Source organism: Homo sapiens, chromosome 5 (genome assembly GCF_000001405.40).
Source record: "Homo sapiens chromosome 5, GRCh38.p14 Primary Assembly".
Classification (NCBI taxonomy): Eukaryota; Metazoa; Chordata; class Mammalia; order Primates; family Hominidae; genus Homo; species Homo sapiens.
Window position 1 is genome coordinate 39,228,981 of NC_000005.10, and position 19,080 is coordinate 39,248,060.

General features: G+C 37.7%; 1 protein-coding gene across 10 annotated transcripts in view, besides 2 other annotated features; it reads right to left on the minus strand.

Annotated features, from left to right (window-relative positions):
- FYB1 (FYN binding protein 1) overlaps positions 1 to 19,080 on the minus strand; it is a 169,277-nt gene that overhangs the window by 123,729 nt on the left and 26,468 nt on the right. The window lies entirely within an intron of this gene.
- Positions 3,027 to 3,321: a silencer, noted in NCBI's record as "tiled region #14491; HepG2 Repressive DNase unmatched - State 7:EnhWF, and K562 Repressive non-DNase unmatched - State 24:Quies". NCBI's record gives its function as "represses a minimal TATA promoter and a strong SV40 promoter by Sharpr-MPRA in HepG2 and K562 cells {active_cell/tissue: HepG2 | K562}" and the evidence as "EXISTENCE:reporter gene assay evidence [ECO:0000049][PMID:27701403]".
- Positions 13,356 to 13,545: a silencer, noted in NCBI's record as "fragment chr5:39242438-39242627 (GRCh37/hg19 assembly coordinates)". NCBI's record gives its function as "represses an EF-1alpha promoter that drives an FKBP-Casp9 reporter gene in an ReSE screen in K562 erythroleukemia cells {active_cell/tissue: K562}" and the evidence as "EXISTENCE:reporter gene assay evidence [ECO:0000049][PMID:32094911]".

The following is a 19,080-nucleotide window of genomic DNA, read 5'->3' on the forward strand; positions in this document are numbered from 1 at the left end:
AAATAAAATGAGATAGTAACAAGGCTTTGTCTTACAGTGGCAGAAGATCTCATCTCTCTGTGTGAAGAGTATGGCTACGATCCTAGGACTGGGGTCTGTCCTGATTCAATGTCCTCCTGCCTTCTTGGCCAGAATGGGACTGGGGCTATCAAAAGGAGCCTGGGACTCAGGACCCAGGGAATAGTGGATGAATCTTTTAGAAGACAGGGGCTGATACTCCCTTACTAAAGGATCCATGTAAAACACAGTAGGACTCTGAGCTTGTTGGAATGGGATTGATGTCCACCATTCCCCAGTAGAGAAGTGCAGACAACAAGCTGCTTGCACGAAATACGAAGCTAATTTGTTCTATAGAGTCATTCTCTGCAGTGTTAAGAGAGTGACTATAAAAGAAGAAACCAGGGGAGAAATCAGCCATTGTCCAGACTTAAATAAAATGACAGTGGAAACTAGTAACTCACCTGAACTGTGTCCATTTCCAGAATTAGTTGAAACTCTAAACTCCTTTAAGTCTGACCAAGGCGGGTGAGTTGGGGGTACATCCTTTGATATTCACTTTTGACATTTATGTCTGCCTTAACTTAGGGATATGATTTGACTTACTGTATGAAAGTCAAATAATGATTAATAGCTACCTTTATTGTGGGATTAACATATTCCAGGCAAGGTGCAGAGAATTTATATAGATTGTCTAGTTTAATCCTCATAATATTGCTAAGGTGATGATTATGCCCATTTTATAGATAAGGGCAATCAGGTTTAGAGAGGTAAAGTGAGTTGCCTAAAAGGCAGAAGAGGTCCTGAAACTTCAGTCTGTATAATAGTCCAGATCCACTTCGTTAAATACACCCAGTGATTCTAAAAGCTGGCTTCACAAGAGAATAACCTGAGGGTAATTTTACAAAATGCTGACAGCCAGGCCCGTGTGGTTCAATTAAATCACAGTACTTGAGTGAGGTGCCTGGGCATCTGTACTCTTCAGAGCTCTCAGATGATTCTAATGGGCAAATCAAGATCGGGAATCTCTGAACTACTTTATACTGTTTCCAACATAACTAAACTCTTCCTATAGTGAGGTAGGCAAAATAACGTCCCCATCTTCCAAAAGATGTCCACCTCCATATCCCAGGAACTGTGAATATGCTACCTTATATAGCAAAGGGGAATTTGCAGGAGAGCAATTAGGTTAAGAATCTTAAAATGAGAAGATTACTCTGGATTATTTTGGGAAGACCCAAGTAACCAGAAGGATCGTTATACATGGAAGCAGATGGCAGGAAGGCCAGTGTCAGAGTGATGCAGCTGAGAAAGACTTGATCAGCTATTGTTGGCTTTCAAGCTGAAATAAGGCCATGAGCCGAGGAATGCAGGCAGCCTTTGGAAGCTGGAAGAGGCAAAGAAATGGAGCCTCCGCCAGAACCTCCAGAAGAAGCACAACTCTGCCCACACCTCAGAGGCTCATTGCAGACTTCTGACCTCCAGAACTATAAGACAATAAATTTCTGTTGCTTTAGGCCATGAAATTCATGGTAATTTGTCACAGCATATATATATGTATATATGTATAATATGTGTATATATATTTCTGTATATGTGTGTGTGTATATATGTATACATATTCTTCCACATCCCTGCAGCTTCTCTTCTGTCTTAAACATGCTTACAGTCACTTTTTTAAAAAGTCCTATCACTGTGTAAAAATGTATTATTACTTCAGTGAATTGGCCTTACCTAGACACCCGTTCAAAGGCATTATCCACAAGGCTGATGCTGGCATCACGGTCTAATGACTGAAACCCAACTGGACAGGGTACAGCTGAGAATTGCTGACTCTGTGAGAACTTAGACTTCCCTGTCTCAGTATACACACACACACACACACACACACACACACACACATATATATACACATACATGTATATATATTAGTAGAGTGAATGGAATGACTGATTGTCCCAGGCCAACCGTAATAAAAATGGAGCATAATCTTGTGCAAATATCTTTCTATTTAAAAAGGAAAATATACTAAAGTGTTGTATCATGATATTAATATTGATTAGAACAAGGAGGAAGAAATAAAGATAATGAGCAGGAAGAGCTATTAATCAAGACATATTTATTCCAGGAGGCAGTTTGATGGAATAGAAAAAAGTACTCAGCTCAGAGCAAAAAAAAAAAAAACAAAAAAAAACAAAAAAAACAAAACAGCTGTAGCCACCAGCTTCAGCTGCTGTTGCCCTGGGATTTCTGTGTTACCTTGGACAAGTCATGTCCCCATTTCCATCCTCAATTCCATGAATTCAATTAGGGAACACATTCAAAAGCACCTGGCACAGTGCTTGGCACATGGCAAGTACGAAATACATGGTTGGCCATCTTTTCTCTCTAAATGTACTGAGTACCTTTTGGGTTACAAAGCTTTCTGTTAGGTGCTATGGCAAAGTTGAATAAGAAAAAAATCTCTTCTCTCAAGAAACCCAAGGCTATTTGGAAAAACATATGATATATTTCTGGAAAATTCATAATACAATGACTATTGCAGGGTAATATATTTCAAGAATGAAATAAACAGCCCAGTCATAAGAAATTATTACACATTGGAGTGCTCCTGAAATGCTACTCGAAGAATGGGTAGGATTTCGTGGGCTGAGAGACCAGGAGATTAGTGCAAACAATGGGAGAAAGAGTGCTAATAAGGAGGTGCTCAGACACTAATTATTTCTCAAAATTCTTATGTGGCTGGGAGGTGAACAGAGGTGCAGAGAGCTATTTCTCTTTCACAGAGGGGAGAACTGAGACAGGGAAGTCTAAGTTCCCACAGAATCAGCAATTCTCAGCTGCACCCTGTCTAGTTGGGTTTCAGTCATTAGACCACAGTGCCAACTTCAGCCTTGTGGATGATGCCTTTGAAGGGGTTTCTAGGTAAGACTGACTCACTGAAGTAATAATACATTTTTACATAGTGAAGAGACTTAAAAAAAAGTGACTGGAAGCATGTTTAAGACAGAAGAGAAGCTTCAGGGATACGGATGAATTGTATATCATCAAACTGTTTGCCTTAGCTCTGAGCTCTTGAGAAATAGGTCAATGTAGAACAATGAACAATGGTGAACTTTCTCTGAACCAAAGATAAGAGTGGCTGAAAGAGCAAGACAGAAAGATACCTGTTTCAGAACATGCACACACACTACACATGCACACACACGCATACCAATCTCCTTCAGGAGTCAGCTTTGATCAAAATGAACATTGCATGTTTGTACAAAAAAGGAACATTTAATATAAACTTTTCTGGCATCAGTAGCCCATATTACCCAGAAATATAAGTCACATGAAACTAAAGAAATGAATAAGCTACCAGGAAGGTGAGTCAGGGCTGCTCTGGGCACCACTCTACCCGTTCTCCTTGCAATAACCCACAGATGTGCAGCAGGTCTCAGAAATGGTATTCAGGCTGACAACGGACCCAGCTGTCCTCTCAAATTGAAATTAAATCCTCATGTAAAGCCATTGTAAGTGTGACATTTTAGCATAAACATTTATTTTATTTATTTATTTATTTATTTATTTTTTATTTATTTTTTTTGCTTTTTTTAAAAATTATACTTTAAGTTTTAGGGTACATGTGCACATTGTGCAGGTTAGTTACATATGTATACATGTGCCATGCTGGTGCACTGCACCCACTAACTCGTCATCTAGCATTAGGTATATCTCCCAATGCTAACCCTCCCCCCTCCCCCCAACCCACAACAGTCCCCAGAGTGTGATATTCCCCTTCCTGTGTCCATGTGATCTCATTGTTCAATTCCCACCTATGAGTGAGAATATGCAGTGTTTGGCTTTTTGTTCTTGCGATAGTTTACTGAGAATGATGATTTCCAATTTCATCCATGTCCCTACAAAGGACATGAACTCATCATTTTTTATGGCTGCATAGTATTCCAGGGTGTATATGTGCCACATTTTCTTAATCCAGTCTATCATTGTTGGACATGTGGGTTGGTTCCAAGTCTTTGCTATTGTGAATAATGCCGCAAGAAACATACGTGTGCATGTGTCTTTATAGCAGCATGATTTAGAGTCCTTTGGGTATATACCCAGTAATGGGATGGCTGGGTCAAATGGTATTTCTAGTTCTAGATCCCTGAGGAATCGCCACACTGACTTCCATAAACATTTCATTTTAAAAAGTTTGCATGCAACTAGAAAGAGCTAGCAAATATTTGGCTGGGCAAATAAACGGTTTGGTTTACAAGGAGGAAGTTAGACTTAGATGTAGCCCCCAAAGAGCTGTGGGTAATTAGTTGACTGGATGAAGAACCATGGTGAGCATCCTTAGCAGTGTCTCCTGGCCAGCTTAGAAACAGAGTTCTATTGGCTTTATTCTTTCTTCAGTTAATCATTGCTTACAAGTCCAGTTGTTTTATATTTGTACTCACCATCTTCTAGAGCAGTGGTTCTCAACTCTTTGGTTTCAAGACCATTGAATGCTTAAAAATGATCGGCAGACTCCAAAATGCTTTTGTTAACGTTGGTAATAAGTGAGAAAACTTTAATTTACTTATTAATGCATTTAAAATAACAATAAATCATTACATATTAACATAAAACTTCTATGAAAAATATATTTTCTAAAACAAAACTTTTAGTGAGAGGCTTGGAATTGTTGTACATTTTTGCAAATGTGTTTAATGCCTGGCATAATAGAAAACAGCTGTATCCTGATGTTTGCTCTGCATTCAGTCTGTTGTGGCATATTGTTTTGGTTGAAGTATATAAAGATATGGCCTCATACAGACATGTAGTTGGAAAAGGGAAGGATATCTTAATAGCCTTTTCAGATAATTATGTAGTATCTAGAAAATTCCACTGAGAACTCAGGAGAAAGTGATAATGAAAAAGACAAGTTAACATAGTAGTATTATTGTGTAGGTAGTTTTGACATTGTGCGTTGCCTGAAAGGGACTTGATGACTCCCAGGCATCTTTGGATGACATTTTGAGAACCACTGCTCTGGCCTTTCTCTAGCTTAGATGGGGTTTACTGTTATCTGTGGCTAACTCTTTAAGTAAACTGACTGTGAACGCCACATGCATGATATCCAGGCTCATTTCTAGGTCTTTAAACAGCATCTTCCACTTAGTTCCATATTCACTGCCCCATCACCACAGCACATATGTCAGGAAGGCTGATTTCTCATGGAAACATAAAGAGTATGAGAAAAGGTCATTCATCAAGGCTGTTTTTGTTTTTAATTGTATTTGTGTTTTTATTAAAATATTACTGATCCTTAAAATGCTTAAATCCAGGCATGGAGACACATTTGTGAATCTTAGTTAATTTATAAATATAAAAGTATTTATGATTGTTTCCTATGGAGCCCATGTCCTAGGCAATGTGATTATAAGATTTAATCAAATGGTCCTATTGTGTCAAGGAGCTCAGTCTTTGAAATACAAAGAGGCAATTAAAAATTACATAGTTGTGGAAAACAGTGTGGCAATTCCTCAAGGATCTAGAATTAGAAATACCATTTGACCCAGCAATCCCATTACTGGGTATCTACCCAAAGGATTATAAATCATGCTACTATAAAGACACATGTACACATATGTTTATTGCAGCACTATTTACAATAGCAAAGACTTGGAACCAACCTAAATGCCCATCAATGATAGAATGGATAAGGAAAATGTGGCACATATACACCATGGAATACTATGCAGCCATTAAAAAGGATGAGTTCATGTCCTTTGCAGGGACATGGATGAAGCTGGAAACCATCATTCTCAGCAAAGTAACAGGAACAGAAAACCAAACACCACATGTTCTTACTCATAAGTGGGAGTTGAACAACGAGAACACATGGACACAGGGAGGGGAACATCATACACCAGGGCCTGTCAGGGGGTCGGGGGCAAGGGGTGGGATAGTATTAGAACAAATACCTAATGCATGCGGGCTTAAAACCTAGATGATGGGTTGATGGGTGCAGCAAACCACCATGGCACGTGTATACCTATGTAACAAACTTGCACCTTCTGCATATGTATCCAAGAACTTAAAGAATAATAATAATAATAATAATAATAATAATAATGATAAATCACACAGTTTATAAATACAAACTCAATAATCAATTTAAATTCCCTGGAAGAAAAAAAGGTCAGTGTAGCTTGCGGGGTAGTGGAATTGTTTCCTGTTCACACCATAACTAGAAATGGAGGCAAGAAACAATGACTGTCAGAAAGCTTGAGGTGAAGAGGGAACTACAGATAATACCCCAAGGATCAGCTTTTTTTTTTTCACAGTCAGTGCAGGATCTTAAAAATGTTTTTCTTGAGAAATGAACAAAGGTGACATTTTTACCCTTTGGGCTTAGAAAGGGGTCAGAGCACAATTCAAAAATAAATAACTCTTGGCTGATTTGATGCAGATGTCATCCACAGTTGTCCAAACAGGGGCAGAGGGAGTGTCTACAATTTGCTACAGATTTACATTTAGCATCTTTGTGAATTCAGCAGAATTCATAAAATGTAGACTACTTTGTTTCCCTTCCTGCCAATTAAATCTAATTAAATCTTTACTTGTTTTTTTTTTTTTGGTATTGTGATGCTAGACACCTGAGTAGATATATAGGAGCTGCCATTTTTATTGTATAAACAGTCGTTAAGCAGTTTTTGAGCAAGTATTTGGTGCTAGGTGTTGTACTGAGTGAATAAATGATGAATGAAACCTGTCTAACATACGACAACTATCAAACATGTATGGGAACTTGCAGCTAATATATCATCAGCTGCCATAAATGAAATCAAACGTCTTCTATATTTCTCAACAAAACTGTTGATAAGCTTCTAGAACAGTGTTGTGCAATAGGACTCTTTTGTAGTGATAGAAATATTCTATTTTGGTGTGGTCCAATATGGTAGCCACTGACCACATTTCACTATTGAGTACCTGAACTGTGCAATTGAGGAACTAAAACATTAATTTCATTTATTTTTAGTTAGTTAAAATTTAAACAGCCACATGTGGCTTGTGGCTACAGTATTGGACAGTACAGGACCAGGACCCTATGATATCTTTTAGTTTTCTAAACCTCTCAGATACTAGATAAATTCTAGGTGTGCCACAAGATTTTAAAAGGTACTTTATATTAAATTCTTATTAAGGCTCAAACGTGGGTTAATGAGAAGATTAACACACCATTTCCTTTGCTTTGAAGTTAAGGATAAATATGAAAATAATCACTAGAAAATTTATCGGAGTAAATCCCTAATTTCAAGAGACCAGTATGTCTTGGAAAACCTGCTGGATGTTCTGGACTTTAATAGACTAAAGAAGGCATTGAGGTTTTTGATAATATAATAACTTATGAATAGGAAAATAAGGTATTCAATAACTCTGGCAAAGAAGTGAAAGCAAATGCAGAAAATATAGGCCATTAATGTAGATCCAATTTCTGGGGGATAGTGTGATGTTGCACATGTGGCTAGAGGAATTATAATGGTTTGGAAAAAATTCAGAAATTGAGATGCCATATCCATAGAGATATAGCAACACCTAAATTTGTAGGGGGTACAGATTTTACAGTCAAAGGTTCTCATCATAGTTTAAAAGATGAAGACAAAGATGCAGACAGCTACATAACAATGAAGAATCAGGGAATAACAAGGAACAATCAAAGGTTTATCACAAGATAGCAAGTTATTAACCAGCAAATTAAAAGACTGGAAATAAATGTTGTAAATTCAGAGGAAGCTAAGCTCACATTGGACAAGGGGGCTGAGATAGCTCTCTGCTGCTTAGCCAGTTTTTATCCTTGGCCAAATTGCTTGACCTGAGTTTCAATGTTGTCATCTATCAAACAGAGATATTAGCTAATGTAAGGTTGCTATGAAGACTGGCACAAGGCCTAACACGTAGCAGGTACTTAAGACTACAAGACTACTCAAGTAGTTATGACTATTCACTACTGCCACCAGGAACTTCTGGAAGTTGCACAAATATAAGAAATGTACTTATGGTGGTGGTAGGCAGTGAGTAAGTGAATTTAATTTGAACAGAGGTTGATGAAGGAAATAGTAGAAAGCAAATTTAACAAGTAAGTTGGGCCCAAATAATCTCTTTTCCTTGAAATCCCGACAAAACAATTTGGGTTTGACTGTCATTGGTAACTGGAAAAAATTGTAGGCTCATGCCAAAAACAACAGTTAGGTAGATTAGCCAGAGGCACCACAAAAGATAAATCGAGTCGAAAGGCAAGGAAGGCAGTTAGGGGGATGTTACAATAATCTAAGTATGAGATGACCGGCTTGCTGAAGATATTAGGTGCATACATGGAAGTAAAAGGGCAAATACGAAAGATATTTTGAAGAAAGAATGAATTAAATTTGGGCTTCGCAGTCTGTGGGTCCAGGTGTTATAAATGAGTTGAGATTGATCCACTAAGGCCTTGGGGGCTGTGGGGAACATTCTAACCTTCATCAAGCAACTACTTCCCACCAAGATGCAAATAGAATTTTTTGCTTACTCAATCAATAAGATATCATCATTTCTTGCATAGGCTATAATATAAAAATTTCTGATAATCACTGAACTAAGGTGCTTAGTGCCAGACTGGATATAAGGATTGAAAGTAAAAAAGAGTTAAAATGACTACAATACTTCAAGACAAAATGAGAGATACTGATGATGGCATAGGTGGGAAAAGAAACCCAGTGGGAGAAATTTGTTTTGAATATTTCAGTTGCTGTGAATATGAAACATTCATACAAATAAATGGCTGGGAAAACAAGATTGCAACAAGAATGAGAGGTTTCTTAGAGATAGAGATTATCTGCATTGAAAATGGAAATCAGTCAATTGTATTTGGCTAAAGCATCACTCAGGGAATGCGGATTAATAGATTCGTATGAACCTGTTTCAATCTCCTTTCTCTTTAGGTCTGTTCTATTATTTTCACCCTTGCTTTAGACAAAGATATAGAAGCATTATGACATTTACAAATCATACAAGTATGGGAGGAATAGCTAATACATCGGTGGATGTAATCAAAATTCAGAATGGTTTATTGACCCCAAACTGAGAAGATACAAATGAACACCACCATGTGAATGTACTTTATGCCACTGAACTGTACCCTTAAAAATGGTTAAGATGGTAAATTTTGTTATGTGTATTTTACAATTAAAAAGAACAATATTTATTGAGAAGTTCTGCATGTATATGTGTGTATATATATGTACATATATATTATATACATCCTATAATATATCTGTGTGTGTGTGTATGTACGTGTATGTGCATAAAATTCCTGTGAGGATAAATCTTAAGGAAGCCTGAGTGGGAGAAAGAAAATGCATTATATTTTTTTAGGTGAATTTTTTACTTTCTTCCTTTGAGTTTCTCCTAAAGAATTCACTCTAGGGGAAAAAAATCCCCCAGTTATAACTTGGCAAATATCAAAATATTTAATTAAGGTGAGATCAATTTTTTTGCAGTACTTTTGTGGGCCAACCCACCTGCCTTCCAAAGAAGGGACAATAAAGAGCAGCTGTCATGTGAGAAAAAAAGTTGATGAGGACAATGAGGTCTCTGTAGTCAAATAGGGAACTATTACTGTGGGTGCAAGAAGAGAGAAAAAAGAGCCCCAAGCCCTCAAAGTGTCTGCATACAATCTCTACAACAGCCAGCATCAAATCAGCACAAAATCTGTCTAGGAGCTTATCCAGAATACCAAAACAAAGATTAAGGAGCATAGATGGAAAGATGATTAAGCCTAAAGGAAAGCCGAGAGGGTATCAGGGTGAGGCTTCATGTTTGTTTACTTCTTTCCTCCAACAGCTAGGCTTTAAACCACTTCTCCTTGTCACATGGTCACACGTGAAAACCTCTTTGTGTGTGAGAACATGCTGGGTATTTCTGCACATGCCAGTGTGCCTTTTTGGCCACCTGACTTGCTCATGGAGACTTATGTGTAAGTGGATCACTCTAAAGGGGGCATCACCAAGTTTGATTCAACATATGCAAATCAGTAAGTGTGATTCGCTACACAAATAGAACTAAAAACAAAACCACATGTTCATTTCAATGGATGCAGAAAAGGTTTCTAATAAAATTCATCATCCCTTCATGTTAAAAACCTTCAACAAACTATGCATTGAAGGAACATACTTCAAAATAATAAGCGGCATCTATGGCCAGCCCACAGCCAACATCATACTAAATGGGCAAAAGCTGGAAGCATTCCTTTTGAGAACCAGAACAAGAAAAGTATTTTCACTCTCACCACTCCTATTCAACATAGTACTGGAAGTCCTAGCCAGAGCAATCAGGCAAGAGAAAGAAATAAAAGGCATCCAAATAGGGAGAGAGGAAGTCAAACTATCTCTGTTTGCAGATGATATGATTGTACAACTAGAAAACCCTATAGTCTCTGACCAAAAGCTCCTAGATCTGATAAACAATTTCAGCAGTTTCAGGATACAAAATCAATGCATGAAAATTAATAGCAATTCTATACACCAACAACATCTAAGCTGAGAGCCAAATCAAGAATGCAATCCTATTCACAATAGCCACAAAAAGAATAAAATACCTAGGAATACAGCTAACCATAGAGGGGAAAGATCTCTACAGTGAGACTTACAAAACACTGCTCAAAGAAATCAGAGATGACACAAACAAATGGAAAATCATTCCATACTCATGGATTGGAAGAATCAATATTATTAAAATGGCCATACTGTCCAAAGCAATTTGCAGGTTCAATGCTAATTCTATCAAACTATAAATGATATGGTTTACAGAATTAAGAAAAACTATTTTAAAATTCACATGGAACCAAAAAAGAGCCCAAATAGCCAAAGCAATCTTAAGCATAAAGAACAGAGCTGTAGCCATCACATTACTCAATTTCAAACTATACTATAAGGCTACAGTAACCAAAATGGCATGGTACTTTCTGCCTTTGAGTCTGTACAAAAACAGACACATAGACCAATGGAATGGGATATAAAGCCCTGAAGTAAAGCTGCACACCTACAACCATCTAATCTTTAGCAAAGTCAATATAACAAGCAATGAGGAAAGGACTCCATATTCATAAATGGTGCTGGGATAACTTGCTAGCCACATGCAGAAGATTGAAGCTGAACCCCTCCTGATACCATATACAAAAGTTAAGGCAGTATGTATTAAAAACTTAAATGTAAAACCTAAAACCATAAAAACCCTGGAAGATAACCTAGGAAATACAATTCTGGGCATAGGCCCTGGCAAAGATTTCATGACAAAGATGCCAAAAGCAACTGCAATAAAACCAAAAATTGACAAATGGAACCTAATTAAACTAAAGAACTTCTGTGCAGGAAAAGAAAATCTCAACAGAGTACACAGACAATCTATAGAATGGGAGAAAATGTTTGCAAACTATGCACCTGACAAAGGTCTAACATCAAGAATCTACAAGGAATTTAAACAACTTAACAAGCCAAAATCAATGCCATTAAAAAGTGGGCAAAGGACATGAACAGGCACTTCTAAAAAGAAGACATTCATGCAGCCAACAAAGCATATGAAAAAATGCTCAACAATACTAAGCATCAGAGAAATGAAATCAAGACCGCAATGAGATACCATCTCACACCAGTCAAAATGTCTGTTATTAAAAAGTCAAAAAATAACAGATGCTGGCAAGATTGAGAAGAAAAGGGAACATTTACACAGTGCTGGTGGATGTGTAAATTAGTTCAGCCAATGTGGAAAGCAATGTGGCAATTTCTCAAAGAACTTAAAACAGAAGTATCATTCGATTCAGCAATTCCATTATTGGGTATATACCCAAGGGAATATAAATCATTCTACCACAAAGACACATGCATGTGTATGTTTATCACAGCAATATTCACAATAGCAAAGATACAGAGTCAACCTGAACACCATTCAGTGGTAGACTGGATAAGGAAAATGTACATATACACCATGGAATACTATGCAGCCATAAAAAAGAATGAGATCATGTCCTCTGGAGCAACTTGGATGGAGCTGGAGGTTATAATCCTAAGTGAACTAACACAGAAACAGAAAACCAAATACTGCATGTTTACACTTCTATGTGGGAGCTCAACATTCAGTACACATGGACTCAAAGAAGGGAACAATAGGGCCTACTTGAGGATAGGAGCTTAGAGGATAGAGAGGATCAAAGGAATGCCTATTGGGTACTATGCTGATTACCCACCTGGGTGATGAAATAATCTGTACAAAAAACCCCTGTGATGCACAGTTTACCTATGTAACAAACCTTCCCATGTACCTCTGAACCTAAAATAAAAGTTAGATAAATAAATAAATAAGGCATCACTACAACAGGGTGTCCAGGACCTATGAGTCTGGTCCATGGAAAATGTAGAGGGGGACATAAGCTTCAGTTCTACGCCCTGATTCTGAGACTGTACATATTCACATCAGCTTATTCCCCACCTTCCTGTGTATGTGCATCTCCACTTTTTTCCCTTCCTCCTACCTCTCCTTCCTCAAAACCTAGAGTGATAAATAGGTGGTAGAAAGGATTAGGGGGAGTGCAGTCAACATAGGGAGTGGGCAAGGGCACTACCCTATTTCCTTATTTCTCCTCATTTTTAAGGATGGGTCTATACTGGCAAAAGACCAGGTATGGTTGAGTTGGCTGTGTCCTGCACAACCGTAAGAGGTGCCATGCACAATGCTACATATGATACAGACCACTCCTAGTGGGAAATCCACCTGATTTGAAGAGCAGTGTATTGGAAAGGAGCCTCATGGTTCAGGCTCTTCTGAATTCTTCCTGTTACAGTTTAAGCTCTTTTTTTTTTTTTTCCTGGAGGGCATCTTTTTAATAAAGATTTGTTCATAGAATTTGTTATTTAAGGTACAAGTCTCTTGTAAACTTACATTAGAGCTGAAAAGGAAGTTTTATTAGGCCAAAGATGTTGCATTACTTTTTCTTTCAGCCATATTCCCTCCAAATTTTTCAGTCACCTTGAGAGGTTTCAGAAATCCTTACATGTTTCATTCCAGGAACTGTTAAATCACTATTTTTTTTCCCTCTCAGTTGAAACAAAGCCAACTTTTAGATAGCCTCAAAACATTTTTCAATCTATTTTAACAATTTTCTTTTTTTTATTATTATACTTTAAGTTCTAGGGTACATATGCACAATGTGCAGGTTTGTTACATATGTATACATGTGCCATGTTGGTGTGCTGCACCTATTAACTTGTCATTTACATTAGGTATATCTCCTAATGCTATCCCTCCCCCCTCCCCCCACGCCACGACAGGCCCCAGTGTGTGATGTTCCCCACCGTGTGTCCAAGTGTTCTCATTGTTCAATTCCCACCTATGAGTGAGAACATGTGGTGTTTGGTTATTTGTCATTGTCATAATTTGTTGAGAATGATGGTTTCCAGCTTCATCCATGTCCCTACAAAGGACATGAACTCATCCTTTTTTATGGCTGCATAGTATTCCATGGTGTATATGTGCCACATTTTCTTAATCCAATCTATCATTGGTGGACATTTGGGTTGGTTCCAAGTCTTTGCTATTGTGAATAGTGCCACAATAAACATATGTGTGCATGTGTCTTTATAGTAGCATGATTTATAATCCTTTGGGTATATACCCAGTAATGGGATGGCTGGGTCAAATGGTATTTCCAGTTCTAGATCCCCGAGGAATCACCACACTGTCATCCAGAGTGTTTGAACTAGTTTACAGTCCCACCAACAGTGTAAAAATGTTCCTATTTCTCCACATCCTCTCCAGCACCTGCTGTTTCCTGACTTTTTAATGATCGCCATCCTAACTGGAGTGAGATGGTATCTCATTGTGGTTTTGATTTGCATTTCTCTGATGGCCAGTGATGCTGAGCATTTTTTCATGTGTCTGTTGGCTGCATAAATATCTTCTTTTGAGAAGTGTCTGTTCATATCCTTTGCCCACTTTTTGATGGGGTTGTTTGTTTATTTCTTGTAAATTTGTTTAAGTTCATTGTAGATTCTGGATATTAGCCCTTTGTCAGATGAGTAGATTGCAAATATGTTCTCCCATTCTGTAGGTTGCCTGTTCACTCTGATGGTAGTTTCTTTTGCTGTGCAGAAGCTCTTTAGTTTAATTAGATCCCATTTGTCAATTTTGGCTTTTGTTGCCATTGCTTTTGGTGTTTTAGACATGAAGTCCTTGCCCATGCCTATGTCCTGAATGGTATTGCTTAGGTTTTCTTCTAGGGTTTTTATGGTTTTAGGTCTAACATTTAAGTCTTTAATCCATCTTGAATTAATTTTTGTATAAGGTGTAAGGAAGGGATCCAGTTTCAGCTTTCTACATATGGCTAGCCAGTTTTCCCAGCACCATTTATTAAATAGGGAATGCTTTCCCCATTTCTTGTTTTTGTCAGTTTTGTCAAAGATCAGGTAGTTGTAGATGTGTGGTATTATTTCTGAGGGCTCTGTTCTGTTCCATTGGTCTATATCTCTGTTTTGGTACCAGTACCATGCTGTTTTGGTGACTGTAGCCTTGTAGTATAGTTTGAAGTCAGGTGGCGTGATGCCTCCAGCTTTGTTCTTTTTGCTTAGGATTGTCTTGGCAATGCAGGCTCTTTTTTGGTTCCATATGAACTTTAAAGTAGTTTTTTCCAATTCTGTGAAGAAAGTCATTGGTAGCTGGATGGGGATGGCATTGAATCTCTAAATTACCTTGGGCAGTATGGCCATTTTCACGATATTGATTCTTCCTATCCATGAGCATGGAATGTTCTTCCATTTGTTTGTGTCCTCTTTTATTTCGTTGAGCAGTGGTTTGTAGTTCTCCTTGAAGAGGTGCTTCACATCCCCCGTAAGTTGGGTTCCTAGGTATTTTATTCTCTTTGAAGCAATTGTGAATGGGAGTTCACTCATGATTTAGCTCTCTGTTTGTCTGTTATTGGTGTATAAGAATGCTTGTGATTTTTGCACACTGATTTTGTATCCTGAGACTTTGCTGAAGTTGCTTATCAGCTTAAGGAGATTTTGGGCTGAGACAATGGGGTTTTCTAAATATACAATCATGTCATCTGCAAACAGGGACAATTTGAGTTCCTCTTTTCCTAATTGAATACCCTTTATTTCTTTCTTCTGCCTGATTGCCTTGGCCAGAACTTCCAACACTATGTTGAATAGGACTGGTGAGAGAGGGCATCCCTGTCTTGTGCCAGTTTTCAAAGGGAATGCTTCCAGTTTTTGCCCATTCGGTATGATATTGGCTGTGGGTTTGTCATAAATAGCCCGTATTGTTTTGAGGTACGTCCCATCAATACCTTATTTATAGAGAGTTTTCAGCATGAAGGACTGTTGAATTTTGTCAAAGGCCTTTTCTGCGTCTATTGAGATAATCATGTTTTTTGTCTTTGGTTCTGTTTGTATGCTGGATTATGTTTATTGATTTTCGTATGTTGAACCAGCCTTGCATCCCAGGGATGAAGGCCACTTGATCGTGGTGGATAAGCTTTTTGATGTGCTGCTGGATTTGGTTTGCCAGTATTTTATTGAGGATTTTTGCATCAATGCTCATCGGGGATATTGGTCTAAAATTCTCTTTTTTTGTTGTGTCTCTGCCAGGCTTTGGTATCAGTATGATTCTGGCTTCATAAAATGACTTAGGGAGGATTGCCTCTTTTTCTATTGATTGGAATAGTTTCAGAAGGAATGGTACCAGCTCCTCCTTGTACCTCTGGTAGAATTCGGCTGTGAATCCGTCTGGTCCTGGACTTTTTTTGGTTGGTAGGCTATTAATTATTGCCTCAATTTCAGAGCCTGTTATTGGTGTATTCAGAGATTCAACTTCTTCCTGGTTTAGTCTTGGGAGGGTGTATGTGTCGAGGTATTTATCCATTTCTTCTAGGTTTTCTAGTTTATTTGCATAGAGGTGATTATAGTATTATCTGATGGTAGTTTGTATTTCTGTGGGATCGGTGGTGATATCCCCTTTATCATTTTTTATTGTTTCTATTTGATTATTTTCTCTTTTCTTCTTTATTAGTCTTGCTAGCGGTCTATCAATTTTTTAAACAATTTTCTTAAAGTTGTCAAATGCTAGAATCCAGAATTAATCATGAGTTATGTGTCTGTTGTACTGCAATTAAAAAAAAGTGTGTGTGTAGGAGGGAGTGGTATAAGAGAAAAAGAAAGAGAGAGAGATACTTTTCTTATCTGTATAGCAATCATATTTTCCTAATGCAAAATGAGATATAGGGTCAAAATACCTATAAATCTCTGGACTTAGCAGGTAGTTAATAAATATTTGTAATGTTTGTGTGGGTGTGTGTGCATCTTTTGCAGTCTGAGGTGGAAGGAATAGAGAATATAACTGATTAGTCTTTCCTGAGACAGAATGGAGAATAACATAACAATTGGTTAGATGGGTTATTCTTCTGAGCTTTTGAATGGGTTCTAGCTGAGAATTCACTATTGTTTCACATGGTCCTGACAGTCCCTGAGATTGAGAGGGCAGAGAAGCGGGTTCTATTAAGGGATATCCAAGAGCAGAGGATTTCTGGGTTGGATGTCCAGACAAGATGAGAAGGAAGAGGAAGAGGCTTTTTTTTTTTTTGAGACGGAATGTCATTCTTGTTGCCCAGGCTGGAGTGCAGTGATATGATCTCTGCTCACTGCAACCTCCACCTCCCGGGTTCAAGTGATTCTACTGCCTCAGCCTCCTGAGTAGCTGGGATTACAGGTGCCCGCCACTACAACCAGCTAGTTTTTGTATTTTTAGTAGAGACGCGGGTTTCGCCATGTCGGCCAGGCTGGTCTCGAACTCCTGACTTCAGGTGATTCACCTGCCTTGGTCTCCCAAAGTGGTGGGATTACAGGCATGAGCCACTGCGTCTGGCCTGGAACAGGCTTTTGTACAGCTTGGTGAGCAGTATTATTGTCCATTATAGATCTTTCTTTAAAGCAGTCTTCATTATAAGACAGAAGGGATGTCTACTTCTACTTTGTTTTTATTTAGAAATTTTGCAGCAACTCTGTTGTTCCAAGAGGAAAAAGAAAGTCTGCTTTTTTCTTTCTGCTTTGTTTTGTCCATGCCTAATCTAGAGAGAATAAGTGAAGTAGGTACCTCTGTTTGGGGTGGACCAGTGGCATGAGGATGAAAAGTGAGAAAACCCTAAGGAAGTAGGGGAAGCTTAGAGCCCACCAGATAGGGGACCCTGTGGCAAAGAGAGACCCTAACCTCAGAGTTGTTCTATGACTTCATCCATCTGTCCACTAACCCATAAAATTGTAGATGTTTAAAGCTCAAGTGTAAGATCTATGTTTTCTCTTGTATGCTAACCAACAAACATGATGGGCATATATTATATAATGAATATAATACTGTATGGTGTCAATTCAGCTTGGAGTTATTGCCAACCAATTCTGCTCCTGTCATAAGGATAATTTGGCATGATTAGTTAATTTTCCCTTAACAGCATCCTAAATGTTCTTAGCTTCTATCACAACTTTTTCCCAGGCAAAGTGAAAATATTTCCTGCCATGAAAGCTCCAAGTTAATACTGTCCATACACTGGTTTCACAGGGTTCCCTCTCTTATGTCTCACAGGTAATAGTTCTGAGAGTTGAAAGTGACTTTTATAGTGGAAGAGTGAAAATTAAAAGTCCACAGGTAGAGAACAAGTCCAGGTTAGACAATGTGTAGTATACCTAGATAAGGGAATCTTATTTGGCTATTAAAAAGATGTGATAGATCCATGTAAACTGAAAGGAAAAGATGTTTATGTTACAGAGTCACATGACAAAGACATGGTGAGGAGCAGAATGGAAACAGCATCATCTACTCAAGGCAGAATAATACAGAGGGTTAGAGCCTGGGCTTTGGAGCCAGGCTGCCTGGGTTTGGACTTCAACTCTGCCCTTACTGTGAGACCTCAAGCAAGTTACTTCTTTGTGCCTCAATTATGTCATCTGAAAATGGGAATAATGTTGACAATAGTACCTATCTTGTAGGATTATGTTAATATGTGTAAAGCCCATAAGATAATGGTGCACACACAAAATGCGTGTTCATATATATATATATATATATATATATATATATATATATATATATGACTATATACCATTTGTCAAATGAATAGCTTTTCTTTCTCTCCTTTCAACTGAGCAAAATAAGCCTTAAAATTTAAATAGTCCTCAGAAGGGTGACTGGCAAAGTAGGTCATTTTCTTGCCTAATGGATTATAGTTCCCAGATACTAAGTTTTGAAATGTTTCAAAGATTTTCTATTTTGTATATCTTTACTTGGCTTTGCATGATGAATAGTATTTTAAATTGTAACATACGGGGTATATATGGAAAGCTTATTCCTACATAATTTGACACATGATAAAATCTTTAGTACGTATGCACAAATAGAGTCCAATATACCATTTACCTTCAGCTCTTATTCAAAGGTTGTTAGACATAAGAAGAATAAAAATTCATAGTTTTGGCACAGTTCAGAAAACTGGGTTCATGTCAACAGATTAACATCCTAAAATGATAAGGACTATAATTTAAAAAGAAAAATCTCACCAAATAAAGGAATACAAGTGCAACTTCTAGAAAATATTATTTATATTGGATATTTTTTACCCCATACATATATTTATAGCCATTTTTCTTTATATGTCAATTGTGACATTTCACCATTTTTGAATATATTACATGGTGAAGTAAACATTCCAGGGTTAATTTCAGCAAATTTCACTTACAAAACATTTGTTGAGCATCTAGTATATGCCAGCACCATAGTGTGCTTTTAGAAAAGTTTGTACTAATAAACATTGAAAGTTTGATGCATTGGCAATAACTTTTTTTCTTGGCTTTGGGCTTACTTTCTTGTTTTTGTTTTGTTTTGTTTTGTTTTGTTTTCAGACAATCTGCTTTCTCTTCTTTGAGGTCTTAGGAATTTGCTCCAGCAGTTTAGAAAGAGTCAAAGCAAGCACATTGGTTACTCAAGTGTAATAAGAAGAAAGTTATTTCTATTTAAAGGAGTCCCTACTCTTGACCACTT